Below are 17232 nucleotides of genomic sequence, written 5' to 3'. Positions count from 1 at the left end.
GTGTAGGCTTGTGATGACTGCAACAAATAAGAAGGTAGAGGGAAAGAAAAAAGAAAGGCAAAGGACTTTAGAAGATAATGAGAAAATACTAGTTAAAAGGAATAGTCTTAGGCCGGGAAGAAGTAAGCGTGCCCAAGGATTCCAGGAATGGATGTCAAGGGCAACTAGAGAAATACCATGGCATTAGAATGCAGTCTGATTTCTCTTTTCTTTGTCTCAGGTGGAATTTATCAAAGTATAATAGATCAATTTTCTACAAGTACCTCATAAAAACATTTCCCCAAGTAAGATGGAGGATAGTGACTTTTTGGAGAAACAGAATGGCTTGATAGATGTCCACCTAGAGAACTACTGCTTCCAAAATGAAATGATACGGCTGTATGGGAAGCTAATAACCAAAAGATCATGTGAACGTTTCATCTACAACATGAGATGGGGCTAGATGGGAGTAAGATTGTCAGGGGCTAACTCTCCACGTTCTAGGAACTCATCACTGTCTTGTTTCTACCACTGTGATCCCAAGGTTTCTTGCATCTGAATAAAATTGGGTCAAGTTCAGCTCATCTGGATTATATGCCAAGAAAAGGTTGGCCATCATGGAATACAGGAGCTTCGGGTGACTTTTTGCATTTTTATGGCCACTATTTGCATTTCTTTTCCCCTGACAAACCCATTGGTCAGAATTGAGAAAACTATCCTTGACGAACTGCTTTTTTAAAAGGATGCATTGCCCTTAATCTAGCAGCTAAGCAGGGGTTTTGAATAGGTGAATCAGATTCGGAGAGAAGACAATTACATTTCTGGAATGATACACACCCTCAAAGTATTATAGCATTGGATGTCTGCTGCCCATTAAATTTCCCCAGCCAATGCTAATTGCCACAAACTCTAGCAAAAGTTTTTCTCTCTGATATTTTGATTACATAATAACAGAAAAATATGTTTAACATAGGCAGGTAATAGCCCTTCTCCTACCCTATTGTTTGTTGTATGGCTTCTGGCAGTGCCATAGGAGTAGTCCCCTTAATATTCCTGTTTTCCAGAATGCTCCTCATATTTCTGGATGAGGTATGATGATTGAATTCAACCTTTTTCTTTGTCCTGAATAATTAGTGTTTTGTCTATCTTATTCTGTTTTCCTTTAATAAATAATATTGATACCAAATACTTCAACTTCATTTATATGCTGTTATCTTATAAGATAGCTTTGTAATAACAGGGTGGTAGCCATAGCTACCACATATTGAATACATTTTGCCAGGCAGTGTACTTTGGTTTTATATGCCATCTTGTTTTATCTTTATAGAAACTATAAACAAGGTAATTATTTTTATGTCCATTTTACAGATGAGGAAACCTGGGCTTAGAGAAGGAGTTAAGTACATTTACCTGAGTTTACACAGCTGGGAAATGGCAGAGCAGAAATTTGAATGACAGGAGAATCAGAGTCTAGAATGTACAGGCATAACCATTAGAGCATGTAGCCTTTTTTGGGCAGCTATGATAAAAGTTACCAAATAAGTATTCACAGAATTGAATGGAATTAAAAATTGAATTTAAAACCAACCATCTCTGGACCTTGTCTTCAAGATAATATTCTTCCAGCCCTTTATGTATCTGCTTTTTAGTCTAGTAGCCAACATGCAGTGTGGATTCTGAAGTTGGACAGACCTCTGCTCCTATCCTGATTCCTTCACCTCTAGCTGTGTGCTCTTGTACAGTTTATTCAACCTTTCTGAATCTCAATTCATTCATTTTAAAAATTGAGATATTTTATTTATAGTGCTGTGGAAAGGATTACATGATATAAACAATGAATGCTCAGCAACTTGGCATAGAGTAGGTATATGAAATACTTTCCCCTCTCTAACACCCACATGGCACTATCCACTTCTTAACTACTCAGTCTGAAAACCTGCTGGAGAGAGAGATCAAAAGTTCTGTTCTTTGGACCTTATGTCCAATTATTTCCTTTTAAGAATATGGGATCCATTATACTTATCTAATACTTCTACCTTCTCACAGGATACCTCATAAATGGTGGTGCAGTCCACTGATTTTCTCTTTTTTATGTCTTGATTCATGACTAGGTTCAGTCAACATCCTAATAAGTTATTATTACCATCTGCAAGTGACAGAAGCTTTTTAAAAAGTTAACACTGTCTATTGATTGCTGATGCGTCTTTTCCATCAATAGACTTTCTTGGGACTGATCAAGTGCAGTAGTGCCAATTGTGAAGCCATTACAGATGAGTTTGGATTTCACTGAAATCTGTAGAGCAGAGCTAATGGGATATATTGTTATCCAGTAGATAGTGCAAGAGTTGCTGCGGTTTACTTAATTTGAAGGGACATTTCATAATTCCAGCCAAATTGGAATCACAATCAGATAAAATTTAAAAGAAAATTACAGTGATCTTGCCCTCTAGAGGCTTTGAAGGAATAAATTTTGCTGCAGTTGGTAATGGCTGTTGATGAAGGTTTTTTAGCTCAAGAAGGAAAGCTACTATTTCAGGAGTTAAGAGTTTCTGGGGTCCAGTGACAGAAATGATCAATTCTTCACAAACTAAAAAGACTTATGATTAAAAAGGGTAAGAAATATTAGTGTTCAATGTAGCAGTGTGAAATTAAAGGACTTTTTAAACTATTTTAGGAGAGTCTAATGGGTATGCAAAAAAATGGCTTTGCCCAGTGTTAGGGTTCTAATATCAGGTTAAGAGGATAAAAAATATGAAGTTCAGGTACTGGGTAATTATTCTGTGTCAGGAACTATGTTAAACGTGTGAAACATTATGCCATGTAATTCTGGCAATAACCTTGAAGATAACATCAAAATTTAGAATGTATAATTATGAAAGATTAAATAATTTGCCCTAGGGCATATAGCTTAGTATATTTCACAACTTGAACTTGAACTCAGGATTTTTCAGAAAAGTGTGTTCTCTTTTTATCATGTAAATCTTGTTTCTGCTTTATGTCTTTCCACCCTCTAGTGTCACCCTACTTCCTGGTAGCATCATTCTAGTGAGATTGGGCCTCTGTTGATTTGTCGGGATATAAATTAGGCTACCTTTATATGATACCAGGTATCAGTATTATCTCAGAATGGCTAAGAGTAGAGCTTAAGATTAGCAGAATGTGAGTGAGGGAGAAATTTGAGGAACATATTTAAATTGGGGACATCTCCAGGGCTACTTCTAGGTACATGTTGGGATTGTGTTCTGCTCTCTGCTTTGTCTAGGGATCCTCATGTATAGAAGAAGGAGGCATCCATGCTGAATATGAGCTAACATGTGATCTCAACAACAATCACAAGGCAATAACCACTTCCTGAGCATTACTCTTTGTCAGGCATTGTCCTGGATGTTTTAGTTCTGATCCACTTAATCTTTCATGTTTCTATTTTTAAGATAAGATGAAGGAAGTTGTGAAAGTCAACACTTGGATCAAAAAAATTGTATAGAATCAGCATATCTGGAAAATGACAAATCTGAGATCTGCATCTGTTCAACTCCAAGGGTTAAGCTTGCTCCACTTTAAATTGTTCATTGGTCAACTCCTAACATTTACCTACTGTGTGCTAAGTAGAGAGGATCAGAGATTAACAAGGAACAAGTCATACCCTCTGGGTTTTATATCTTTTATATTTTAGTCAATTGTCTCCTACTGCAAAGAAAGCATGCCAGCTTCTTGAACAGGATGGAGTTTTCTGTTTTCTTCTCCTCTGTTTTGCCTGCACAATACTAGGTAAGCAATAGTCATTCAGCAATGCTACATAATTGGCTTATCCATCTCAGAATTGCTCCTTCTACCATCTCCCACTTAGAGAGGTGAATCATGACCATTCTACTTGGAAACATGATTCATCCCTCAATGCTTTGGAGAATTCCAACTTTGCAATTCCCTTGCACTTCTATTAACAGAAATGGAAATGAGTGTGGTTAAGGGTAAAATGCCAATTGGGCATGAAAAGAAGCTGGAAAGCTCAGCAGGAAACAATGTGTCATAATCTCACAGGTCTTTTCCCTCTTGGATGTCAGTACTTTTCTCCTACCACCAGTTCCCTCTGTGCTGTTGCCCAGATCAATATAGAAAGGCAAAAAACAAAACAGCAGCAACAAAAAAACCTGCAAAAGGAAGTTTTAGGTGATATAATCTCATTCAGCTCCTCTCCCCTCTATGGGTTAGGAGATGGCTTAAGGATTCATGGGCTACCAGTTTCCTAACTTGGGGAACTGGGAAGCCCAAACTCATCTTGGAGCCCTTACATCGTGCTCTTGAGAGGCGTCACATGCCTAGAAAGATGTGTTTCACAGAGAAATGTCAAATCTCTCCAAATCTAGCTTTTTGTGGGAGTGAGGCTTGGGAAAGCACATTGTAAATACTCAATAACTATATATTATGAGGGTCCCAACATGATTTCAAAAAGCAAATAAAGTTGTATGGATACAAACAAACTAACAATGCTGCTCCATTCATTTGTGTTTCCATTTAGTAAGTAGTAATTTTTTTTTTTTTTTTTTTTTAATGGAGTCTCGCTCTGTCGCCCAGGCTGGAGTGCAGTGGTGCGATCTCGGCTCATCGCAAGCTCCGCCTCCTGGGTTCACACCATTCTCCTCTCTCAGTCTCCCGAGTAGCTGGACTACAGGTGCCCGCTCTCAGGCCTCTGAGCCCAAGCCAAGCCATCGCATCCCCTGTGACTTGCACGTATATGCCCAGATGGCCTGAAGTAACTGAAGAATCACAAAAGAAGTGAATATGCCCTGCCCCACCTTAACTGATGACATTCCACCATAAAAGAAGTGTAAGTGGCCGGTCCTTGCCTTAAGTGATGACATTACCTTGTGAAAGTCCTTTACCTGGCTCATCCTGGCTCAAAAAGCACCCCCACTGAGCACCTTGCGACCCCCACTCCTGCCCGCCAGAGAACAAACCCTCTTTGACTGTAATTTTCCTTTACCTTCCCAAATCCTATAAAATGGCCCCAACCTTATCTCCCTTCGCTGACTCTCTTTTCGGACTCAGCCCACCTGCACCCAGGTGATTAAAAGCTTTATTGCTCACACAAAGCCTGTTTGGTGGTCTCTTCACAGGGACGCGCATGAAATTTGGTGCCGCGACTCAGATCGGGGGACCTCCCTTAGGAGATCAATCCCCTGTCCTCCTGTTCTTTGCTCCGTGAGAAAGATCCACCTATGACCTCAGGTCCTCAGACCGGACCAGCCCAAGGAACATCTCACCAATTTTAAATCAGGTAAGCGGCCTCTTCTTACTCTCTTCTCCAACCTCTCTCACTGTCCCTCAACCACTTTCTTCTTTCCACTCTTCAATCTCTCCCTTCTCTTAATTTCAATTCCTTTCATTTTCTGGGAGAGACAAAGGAGACACGTTTTATCCGTGGACCCAAAACTCCGGCGCCGGTCACAGACTGGGAAGGCAGCCTTCCCTTGGTGTTTAATCATTGCAGGGACACCTCTCTGATTATACACCCACATTTCAAGGGTGTCAGACCACGCAGGGACACCTGCCTTGGTCCTTTACCCTTAGCGGCAAGTCCCACTTTTCTGGGGAAGAGGCAAGTACCTCAACCCCTTCTCTCCTTGTCTCTACCCCTTCTCTGCTTTCCTGAGGCAGGGGCAAGAACCCCTCAACCCCTTCTCCTTCACCCTTAGCGGCAAGTCCCACTTTTCTGGGGAAGGGGCAAGTACCTCAACCCCTTCTCTCCTTGTCTCTACCCCTTCTCTGCTTTCCTGGGGCAGGGGCAAGTACCCCTCAACCCCTTCTCCTTCACCCTTAGCGGCAAGTCCCGCTTCCCTAGGGGGCAAGAACCCCCCAATCGCTTATTTCCGCACCCCAACCTCTTATCTCTGTGCTCCAATCCCTTATTTCCGCACCCTGACCTCTTACCTCTGTGCCCCAATCCCTTATTTCCGTGCCCCAACCGCTTCTCTGCTTTTCTGGAGGGCAAGAACCCCCCACCCCTTCTCCGTGTCTCTACTCTTTTCTCTGGGCTTGCCCCTTCACTATGGATAAGCTTCCACCTTCCATTCCTCCTTCTTCTCCCTTAGCCTGTGTTCTCAAAAACTTAAAACCTCTTCAACTCACACGTGACCTAAAACCTAAATGCCTTATTTTCTTCTGCAATGCCACTTGACCCCAATACAAACTCGACAGTAGTTCCAAATAGCCAGAAAATGGCACTTTGAATTTTTCCATCCTGCAAGATCTAAATAATTCTTGTCATAAAATAGGCAAACGGTCTGAGGTGCCTGACGTCCAGGCATTCTTTTACACATCAGTCCCGTCCTGGTCTCTGTGCCCAGTGCAACTCGTCCCAAATCTTCCTTCTTTCCCTCCCGCCTGTCCCCTCAGTCCCAACCCCAAGCGTCGCTGAGTCTTTCTAATCTTCCTTTTCTACAGACCCATCTGACCTCTCCCTTCCTCCCCAGCCTGCTCCTCGCCAGGCAGAGCTAGGTCCCAATTCTTCCTCAGCCTCCGCTCCTCCACCCTATAATCTTTTTATCACCTCCCCTCCTCACACCTGGTCCGACTTACAGTTTCGTTCTGTGACTAGTCCTCCCCCACCTGCCCAGCAATTTACTCTTAAAAGGTGGCTGGAGCCAAAGGCATAGCCAAGGTTAATGCTCCTTTTTCTTTATCCCAAATCAGATAGCGTTTAGGCTCTTTTTCATCAAATATAAAAACCCAGCCCAGTTCATGGCTCGTTCCCCAGCAACCCTGAGACGCTTTACAGCCCTAGACCCTAAAAAGTCAAAAGGCCGTCTTATTCTCAAAATACATTTTATTACCCAATCTGCTCCTGACATTAAAACTCCAAATATTAAATTCCAGCCCTCAAACCCCACAACAGGATTTAATTAACCTCGCCTTCAAGGTGTACAATAATAGAAAAAAGTTGCAATTCCTTGCCTCCACTGTGAGACAAACCCCAGCCACATCTCCAGCACACAAGAACTTCTAAACGCCTGAACTGCAGTGGCCAGGCGTTCCTCTAGAACCTCCTCCCACAGGAGCTTGCTACAAGTGCCAGAAATCTGACCACCAAGCCAAGGAATGCCCACAGCCCAGGGTTCCTCCTAAGCTGCGTCCCATCTGTGTGGGACCCCACTGAAAATCGGACTGTTCAACTCACCTGGCAGCCACTCCCAGAGGCCCTGGAACTCTGGCCCAAGGCTCTCTGACTGACTCCTTCCCAGATCTTCTCGGCTTAGCGGCTGAAGACTGACACTGCCCAATCGCCTCGGAAGCCCCCAGACCATCACGGACGCCGAGCTTCGGGTAACTCTCACAGTGGAAGGTAAGCCCGTCCCCTTCTCAATCAATATGGAGGCTACCCACTCCACATTACCTTCTTTTCAAGGGCCTGTTTCCCTTGCCTCCGTAACTGTTGTGGGTATTGACGGCCAGGCTTCTAAACCTCTTAAAACTCCCCAACTCTGGTGCCAACTTAGACAACACTCTTTTAAGCACTCCTTTTTAGTTATCCCCACCTGCGCAGTTCCCTTATTAGGCTGAGACACTTTAACTAAATTATCTGCTTCCCTGACTATCCTGGACTACAGCTATATCTCATTGCCGCCCTTCTTCCCAATCCAAAGCCTCCTTTGCGTCCTCCTCTTATATCCCCCCACCTTAACCCACAAGTATAAGATACCTCTACTCCCTCCTTGGTGACCGATCATGCACCCCTTACCATCTCATTAAAACCTAATCACCCTTACCCCACTCAATGCCAATATCCCATCCCGCAGCATGCTTTAAAAAGATTAAAGCCTGTTATCACTTGCCTGCTACAGTATGGCCTTTTAAAGCCTATAAACTCTCCTTACAATTCCCCCACTTTACCTGTCCTAAAACCAGACAAGCCTTACAAGTTAGTTCAGGATCTGCGCCTTATCAACCAAATTGTTTTGCCTATCCACCCCGTGGTGCCAAACCCATATACTCTCCTATCCTCAATACCAGCCTCTACAACCCATTATTCTGTTCTAGATCTCAAACATGCTTTCTTTACTATTCCTTTGCACCCTTAATCCCAGCCTCTCTTCACTTTCACTTGGACTGACCCTGACACCCATCAAGCTCAGCAAATTACCTAGGCTGTACTGCTGCAAAGCTTCACAGACAGCCCCCATTACTTCAATCAAGCCCAAATTTCTTCCTCATCTGTTACCTATCTCGGCATAATTCTCATAAAAACACACGTGCTCTCCCTGCCAATCGTGTCCGACTGATCTCTCAAACCCCAGCACCTTCTACAAAACAACAACTCCTTTCCTTCCTAGGCATGGTTAGCGCGGTCAGAATTCTTACACAAGAGCCAGGACCATACCCTGTAGCCTTTCTGTCCAAACAGCTTGACCTTACTGTTTTAGCCTAGCCCTCATGTCTGCGTGCAGCGGCTGCCGCTGCTTTAATACTTTTAGAGGCCCTCAAAATCACAAACTATGCTCAACTCACTCTCTACAGTTCTCATAACTTCCAAAATCTATTTTCTTCCTCATACCTGACGCATATACTTTCTGCTTCCCGGCTCCTTCAGCTGTACTCACTCTTTGTTGAGTCTCCCACAATTACCGTTGTTCCTGGCCCAGACTTCAATCTGGCCTCCTACATTATTCCTGATACCACACCTGACCCCCATGACTGTATCTCTCTGATCCACCTGACATTCACCCCATTTCCCCATATTTCCTTCTTTCCTGTTCCTCACCCTGATCACGCTTGATTTATTGATGGCAGTTCCACCAGGCCTAATCGCCACACACCAGCAAAGGCAGGCTATGCTATAGTACAAGCCACTAGCCCGCCTCTCAGAACCTCTCATTTCCTTTCCATCGTGGAAATCTATCCTCAAGGAAATAATTTCTCAGTGTTCCATCTGCTATTCTACTATTCCTCAGGGATTATTCAGGCCCCCTCCCTTCCCTACACATCAAGCTCGAGGATTTGCCCCCACCCAGGACTGGCAAATTAGCTTTACTCAACATGTCCGGAGTCAGGAAACTAAAATCTTAATCTCTCCCACTCTAGGTTCCCACGCCGACCCTAATGCCGCTTGAAGCAGCCCTGAGAAACATCGCCCATTCTCTCTCTCCATATCACCCCCCAAAAATTTTTGCCACCCCAACACTTCAACACTATTTTGTTTTATTTTTCTTATTAATATAAGAAGGCAGGAATGTCAGGCCTCTGAGCCCAAGCCAAGCCATCGCATCCCCTGTGACTTGCACGTATACGCCCAGATGGCCTGAAGTAACTGAAGAATCACAAAAGAAGTGAATATGCCCTGCCTCACCTTAGCTGATGACATTCTACCACAAAAGAAGTGTAAATGGCCAGTCCTTGCCTTAAGTGATGACATTACCTTGTGAAAGTCCTTTCCCTGGCTCATCCTGGCTCAAAAAGCACCCCCACTGAGCACCTTGCCACCCCCACTCCTGCCCGCCAGAGAACAAACCCTCTTTGACTGTAATTTTCCTTTACCTTCCCAAATCCTATAAAACGGCCCCACCCTTATCTCCCTTCGCTGACTCTCTTTTCAGACTCAGCCCGCCTGCACCCAGGTGATTAAAAGCTTTATTGCTCACACAAAGCCTGTTTGGTGGTCTCTTCACAGGGACGCGCATGAAACCCGCCACCACGCCCGGCTAATTTTTTGTATTTTTAGTAGAGAAGGGGTTTCACCATGTTAGCCAAGATGGTCTCAATCTCCTGACCTTGTGATCCACCCTCCTCAGCCTCCCAAAGTGCTGGGATCACAGGCGTGAGCCACCGTGCCCGGCCGTAAGTAGTAATTTGAATGATTTCTACGTCAAAGATATGGCTACAGGCCAAGAAAATACAGTGGTGGGTTAACAGACACAGTCTTGGCCCTAAAAAGGTTTACAGTCTAGTGGGAGAAGTAGCCTCAAATAAGGGACTAGACAAATACATATACCATATTTATTTTTATATTAAATTATAAAAGGAAATGACTAAGAATCTGATCTCAGATTTAAAAAAAAAAAATCTGTCTCCACAAAATTGTTTATGTTGTGTGATGTCCCATTCCTTTTGCTCATCTATGTAAATATTATCCAATTTCTTTTGTTTATACATCCTATCACATTGCCCTACACTTAGTAGACATAATAAGTACACAGCATCACAAACAGCAAACCTTTTTGTGGTGCTTTTATGTGTCAGTCATTGTAAAGCTGCTCCATCTAGGCCCTGTGCTGAGGTCCTAACAGAGTAAGAGCCAACATTTGTTGGGTACTTTTTATGTCAGTGATTTTCACATAATATTTATTTAATCTTCATGACAACCTTTTGAGGTATAATTGTTTTTATAGGTTAAGTTGCTTTTCCAAGTTCCTACAACGATTGTCAAGTATCTGCATGCACATATGATCCCAGCTGGTTTTGCTCCATAATGAGTACTCAAAACCACTGTTCTAGTATTATACATAGTCTGAAAATACACTAGAACATATCAGAATGCTTTTCACATATAAAAGAAGGTATTGTTTTGTGAGTGGTTTTCAGTTACAAATGTACTTTTATAGACATAGAATAGGTATGTGTGTACAGGGTCCTAATATAAAATTCATTCCTTATTTGCACCATGAACAAAAAAGCTTAAAAAGCACTGCTACTAATCCACAGAATCTTCTAACATATTGGCGTATAGGAATACACTCTTCATACCATAAAAGTTCACTGTTCAAATGGGCTTTCAGAAGGAGGTAACGCAGCTTTAAAAGTTGACGCACTTGGCCGGGCGCGGTGGCTCACACCTGTAATTCCAGCATTTAGGGAGGCTGAGGCAGGCAGATCACCTGAGGTCAGGAGTTTGAGACCAGCCTGGTCAACATGGTGAAACCCCATCATCTCTACTAATAATACAAAATTTAGCTGGGCATTGTCACAGGCGCCTGTAATCTCAGCTACTCGGGAGGCTGAGGCAGGAAAATTGTTTGAATCTGGGAGGCAGAGGTTGTAGTGAGCCGAGATCGCGCCACTACACTTCAGCCTGGGTGACAGAGATAGACTCCGCTTTGAAAAAAAAAAAAAAAAAAAAAAAGGTTGATGCACTTTCTGTGGTTCGTGAGTTTTTGGAGTCAAAGACAACTGAGTTCTGCCCCCTCGAGCCTAGCCAAGAACGTTGGAGATTCTTGAGAAGTCTTATGTTTCCTCAATGAAAAAGGGGAATAACCAGGTTTTCTTTGCAGGGTTATTATGAAAATATACTGAAATTAAATTTCTTGACATACTACTGATTTTTTTTTCACATAATGATTTATTTTCCTTTCTTTTTTTTAAATTATACTTTAAGTTCTGGGATACATGTGCAGAACGTGCAGGTTTGTTACATAGATATACATGTGCCATTGTGGTTTGCTGCACCCATGAACCCATCATCTACCTTAGGTATTTCTCCTAATGCTATCCCTCCCCTAGCCCCCCACCCCCGACAGACCCCAGTGTATGATGTTCCCCTCCCTGTGTACATGTGTTCTTATTGTGCGGCTCCCACTTATGCGTGAGAAAATGTGGTGTTTGGTTTTCTGTTCCTGTGTTAGTTTGCTGAGAATGATGGTTTCCAGCTTCATCCATGTCCCTGCAAAGGACATGAACTCATCTTTTTTCATGGCTGCATAGGACATACCACTGATTCTTAACAAATGTTATCCTAAGTGACTTCTCTTTTTCCAACACCCCCACAAGTCATACTAATCAAAGCTCCTAAAGATTCTACAAGTCAGCTGTGTGACCACAAGCTGTTTGGCAGGTTTATCATTTCAAACCATTTGCTTAGGCTGTGATGACTGAGAAGAGGTAGTTCTATTCATTTAGGAAATAAGTAATGGAGCAACTCCTCACGGTAGCCTAGAAGACAGGATCTGCAAACATAGCCACCCAGGCGTTAGTCAAATAATAAGGCAATGAATAGGAAATACCTTGGGTAAAAGTGAAGCTGTGCTCCAGGTCTTTTCACCCCAGTAATATTTTGGAAGATAAAGTTGCTATGGCAAGTCACGTGTTGGAAGGACTCATGGGGATTCATTGAGCTCAGTGCACTTTAAAGATTGGAAGGTTGTGAAAACTCCCTCCTAGACTACAACCTCCTAAGAACTCTGGAATCTGTATTTTTCTTTTTTTTTTTTTTTTGAGACGGAGTCTCGCTCTGTCGCCCGGGCCGGACTGCGGACTGCAGTGGCGCAATCTCGGCTCACTGCAAGCTCCGCTTCCTGGGTTCACGCCATTCTCCTGCCTCAGCCTCCGGAGTAGCTGGGACTACAGGCGTCCGCCACCGCGCCCGGCTAATTTTTTGTATTTTTAGTAGAGACGGGGTTTCACCTTGTTAGCCAGGATGGTCTCGATCTCTTGACCTCATGATCCACCCGCCTCGGCCTCCCAAAGTGCTGGGATTACAGGCGTGAGCCACCGCGCCCGGCCTGGAATCTGTATTTTTCTAGTTCTGCAAGGACTCCTGCTCTGAAATAAAAAAAAAATAAAAACAAAAACAAAAACAAAACAGATGCTCTCTGCAGCTGGTTTCACCTATCAGCTCTTTAATCTATCCTAGAATAGAGCTCTGCTTCCGTAATAGCGATGTGTTCAATGTGGGAAGATGTGCAAGATGCTGGCCTGACAGCCTTAAATTGCAGAGGAAATTCCAGATACCAATTATCTTTCTCTACTTCAATAAATTTTCTCTCTTTCTTGCCCCTGCTCCAAGTTCCTATCCCTCTTTCCTTTACCCCGCCTCCCACCACCTTTGTGGTTCAAGTCATGGATAGAGATGCATTTTCAACTACTTAGTTTCGATCAATCCCCAGCTTTCTTTAGATATCGAAAGACTCTTTCCATGTTGTTTTCTTTAACAACATTTGCTTTTATTTGACTCAATGTTCCAATAATTGGGAAATGGAATCTTCTCTGAGAAGGTGTAAGTGAACGGGACCTAATAGTTCCAATTCAGCTAGAGCTGTAGGAAATGCATGAGGGTTACAACCCTTGTCAGAGTGAGACACTTGCTTTTATGAAGAGCATAAATTTAAACAATTGCACCTAAATACAGTCATCCTCACCCCTGCACCCATGAACAGTAATTGTGAATGGTGACCTTTAAAGGAAAAAAAAAGGAAGATTCTTAGCTATGGAGTTGACTAGGTTGTAATTTAATTTTTGGACTAATTTTTCAGCTTTTGTGTGTGTGCATATATATATGTAAATATATAAATTATATATAAATACATAATATTATATAAATTATACACATGCTCTATTTTTCTTCCTAGTTTACTGTTAAAATTTACCATTATTAACTTTCAATCTAAACTCATTTTTATGTCATCTCTGCTTGTTGATGCCCAGGTTAAGAAAACAAACATTTACCTTCAGCCATAGGCACCCACAGAAGCAAATACCAACTAAAACATGACCAAAAGTCAATTGAAGGAGAAACAGAACAGACTGGAATTCCTTGTGGTCCCTTCCTGGTTTCTTTCAGGGCTCCAGGCAAGCGAGCATGTGCTAATTTGCAGGGTTGACTAAATGGCACGCCTAGACCCCAAATTTGCATCTCTGCTTGGGTTCAAAAGTTGGTCTCTGAACAAGTTTCTCTGTTATTTCCCACTCCTAAGTTAAACCCCTTTGGGAATGCTACTCACCAGGGTACAGCTTAGTTCAGAGAAGCAATCATTGGCTGGGCCCCATCTTCCTCTAATATGGGGTACAGCCAGCTGGTGCTGATGTGATGCAATAAGTTAGGAGAGACAAAGGGATGGAGAAGAAAAGGAGATGATTTCCGATGCAAGAGTACAGAAGCCTTCGAGAGCAGTGGCATGCCCCACCCTGTTCTTTTTCCAAGGAAAGAAACTACTAAAGAACAGCCACAGTCTTTCATCCTCCTTCCACCTCCCCAGGTACACATGAAGAGGGGAAAGAGGGTTAAAAAGAAGCTGAACAGGTTTATCTAAACTACAAGTTTCTCTGTGACTCAATTTCCTTACTCATGTAATGGGAATCAGTTACTTGCCTGGTCTAATTCACTACATTGTTAGCAAGGTTATAATGGCATTTCGAGATCATTTAAGGTTCAGGAACGAAAAGTAAATTCCACCCCGCATACTGCGGAGAGAAGTCTTCTGAAGCAGAACTGAAAGTCCTTGGGAAAGAATGTCAGAATGAGCGCACACTCACTGCGGTGCGGCTAGGTGGTCCATGGGGCTCCCTTAGTTCTTCTGATCTAGCTCAACCCTACCATTTCATTGATGAGGAAATTAAAACCCAGAGAACAAAAATAAACTGTTAAGTCGTGTTGGACTATCCAAGTGAAGTGTTTTTGCAAAGGTAAGGCCACTATACATTTATGCCAGTAATAAAGTTTTTATCAGTTTGCTATTTCTGTCTTTGCTGGGGAGAACATTGATCTAAGTAAACACTTTGGTGACTATATCAATGTAGTTGCAAGTGGCAGAAAGTTAACCCTAGCAAGCTATTGGCTAGAGGGATCATTTACCAACTTTCACAATTAGTACAGAGTTGAACAGTCAGACAAGGGCGGGATCCTGCAGAATCTCACGAACAAACGGAATCAGGGGTTTGAAAGCTATAGACCCTCCCTCCAGGTCTCAAAGCTCCATCTGTCTGCCTTTCAACTGTATTCTTACTATTAATTTTTTCACTGTATGTTCTATTTCTGTGGAGGCATATGGAAAACAGGATTCACATTTTTTGGCTTTGACCACAAGAGGGAGACTGTATCACCCTCTCTGTGCTCTGAAATTTAAAATATCTCAGGAAAGTGCAGGGATTGGTCCAGACTGTGGGAGGGGTGAGGCTCTGTAAAAACATGGCCGTCCCAGTTACTGGTATATGGATAGAGTAGAGAAGGAGCTGGTCCCAGTAAAAGAATTTTCCTGTGCAGAAAACAAATGTGATGAAATTATTTAAAATACACATTTAATCACATAAATACAACTGCAGATCTACCGTATGCCACTGAGTTTTCTCCTATATCATGAATTAAGAGAGATCAATTTGATATTACCACCATCAATCTCAGCTTCCAAGTTGTGTTGAGACTGTTTTTTTTATATATGATAGATCTTCTCAATCCAAGCAAACTACCTCCGCTGGTGTTCAAATGAAGAACAGAGAATATACTGGAGCGAAAGGGGCCTACTATGATGAAAATATTGTGTGGGTTCTGCCTATGATGGCTTTTACTTTTTTCAAGGGTCATTTGACTTGACATGACCATTACCAAAGGCTCCAACTCGAATCCCCAAGCACGATGAGACTACTTTGACCATGCCCACCACAGTGAACTTTACAAAGCTGTTCCAGGGTAGGCACCTTTATCTTCTTTATTATCGTTGGGGTATCACAGACAGCATTGTATTTTTCTCCTTGGCTTGACAAACTGGTAAGTCAACTTGTATGTTTCAGTACTCTTAGTTATTAAACAAACCAACTAACCAAATGCTAAATGGAAAGATTAAAACCCACCCAAGTTTCCCGGGTGCATACAAGAGCAACATTGAGGTGACAAAAACTAAAAAGGCCCAAAGGTTCTCTGAAGACCGTTTTTATCTTCTAGCCAGGTGTTACTGCGATTAGAAACACAAGCCATCATGATTGTTAGAAAAGTATTTTGACCACCTCTAAAGTATAAGACTTTTAAATCAGTAAGTCGTTGTTATGTTCCTGGAGAGAGGAGGCCTTCCAAATAAAATAAAACATCTCAGAAATTAATTATATTTTTCTTCTAGTAAATAACCTTTTTTGCCTACAGATATGGCTGAATGCAAATGAAGGTGGTGTTTTCATATTCATAATGGATTTTAGGTTTAACTGTAATACAGATTTAACTAGGCCAAGGACTACAGAAGGGGGATAATATTTATTGTATATTTTTGCCAGAGATCTTGTTTTATTCACTATCAAAAGTGGAACAATGTACCATAACATTAAAAGAAAGCAAAACATTCCCATTGTGTGAAACTAGACGCTCCTTTCAATAAGGAGATAAAAAACCTAACACTTTCTACAAATACTGCTCATTGAGAAGTGAACATTTAGATGGCACCTTCATGTACCAGACAGGATACTTACAGGATTTTTTTGAAAATTCTCATAGCAATCCTGTGTGGTAGATTTTGTCTACATCTTAGAGATCTGAAAACTGCAGGGTGCGGTGGCTCACGCCTGTAATCCCAGCACTTTGGGAGGCTGAGGTGGGCGGATCACGAGGTCAGGAGATAGAGACCATCCTGGCTAACACAGCGAAACCCCGTCTCTACTAAAAATACAAAAAAATTAGCTGGGCATGGTGGTGGGCGCCTGTAGTCCCAGCTACTCCGGAGGCTGAGGCAGGAGAATGGCGTGAACCTGGGAGGCCGAGCTTGCAGTGAGCGGAGATTGTGCCACTGCACTCCAGCCTGGGTGACAGAGGGAGACTCTGTCTCAAAAAAAAAAAAAAAAAAAAAAAAAAGAGAGATGAAAACTGTGATTTTACATTATTTGGCAAGTTCAAGGTCACACTGATAGCAATTGGCAATTGGCACAGCCCACTGCACCACACTGCTTCTGCTTTGTTTTGACAAAGCTGATTCAGGAATGAATGAAACATGTTCAGCCCTAGCAAATGCTATAGGCCATTCACATCATGTCTTCACACTTCCAATAGAGATTATTGTAGTTGGGATTTTTTAAAAAAATCCCTTTCAACTTCACATATTTATGAATGTGCCAATGAACACTTTAAGCATGTATCTATCAATATCAAATGTGGTTTTTAACAGAAACCTTGAAAAAATTGCAGAATTATCCTCTGAAATATTGCTGCTATTATTTTTTAAAATTGCAAGATAATGTTCTGCCATTTCAGACCATTTATCTCTGTTAACAAGACACTTTTTTAGTTGGATAGATAATATACACCCATCTGGTGTGCAGTTTCTTCATTTACTCTGGTAATAATAACTAAAGGCATTTTTCCATTGCTTTGTCGTTGTCCGAGCCAATCTTTTGCCTGTCCTGCTGTTGATATGAGATGCAAAAAGGGAGAAGAAATTGGGACCTGGTTATAATACACAGACATGCCATTTAGAATGTCATTTCAGTGTTGAGGAAGGGAACAGTGCCTAAGTGTTAATGGAAGCAGAACCTTATATAAAACATCTCCAACCATTCAGAAAAGACATAGGGAAATGC

General features: G+C 42.2%; 1 long non-coding RNA gene across 2 annotated transcripts in view, besides 1 other annotated feature; it reads right to left on the bottom strand.

The window, feature by feature from the left end:
- The window catches only part of LOC105374528 (uncharacterized), a 50374-nt gene extending 36523 nt beyond the window's left edge, over positions 1 to 13851 (bottom strand). For both annotated transcript variants that reach the window (XR_925476.3, XR_925477.3), the window contains exon 1: positions 13683 to 13851. This is a non-coding gene — a long non-coding RNA (uncharacterized LOC105374528). The remainder of the gene's footprint in view (positions 1 to 13682) is intronic.
- Positions 8940 to 9564: an enhancer, noted in NCBI's record as "OCT4-NANOG-H3K27ac hESC enhancer chr4:23724584-23725208 (GRCh37/hg19 assembly coordinates)". NCBI's record gives its function as "activates a minimal SCP1, AML or CMV promoter by ChIP-STARR-seq in naive and primed H9 embryonic stem cells {active_cell/tissue: H9 hESC(naive and primed)}" and the evidence as "EXISTENCE:reporter gene assay evidence [ECO:0000049][PMID:30033119]".
- Positions 13852 to 17232: the final 3381 nt, after the last annotated feature.

This window comes from Homo sapiens, chromosome 4, assembly GCF_000001405.40.
Source record: "Homo sapiens chromosome 4, GRCh38.p14 Primary Assembly".
Lineage (NCBI taxonomy): Eukaryota > Metazoa > Chordata > Mammalia > Primates > Hominidae > Homo > Homo sapiens.
This window is presented reverse-complemented; position numbering and strand designations above follow the sequence as displayed.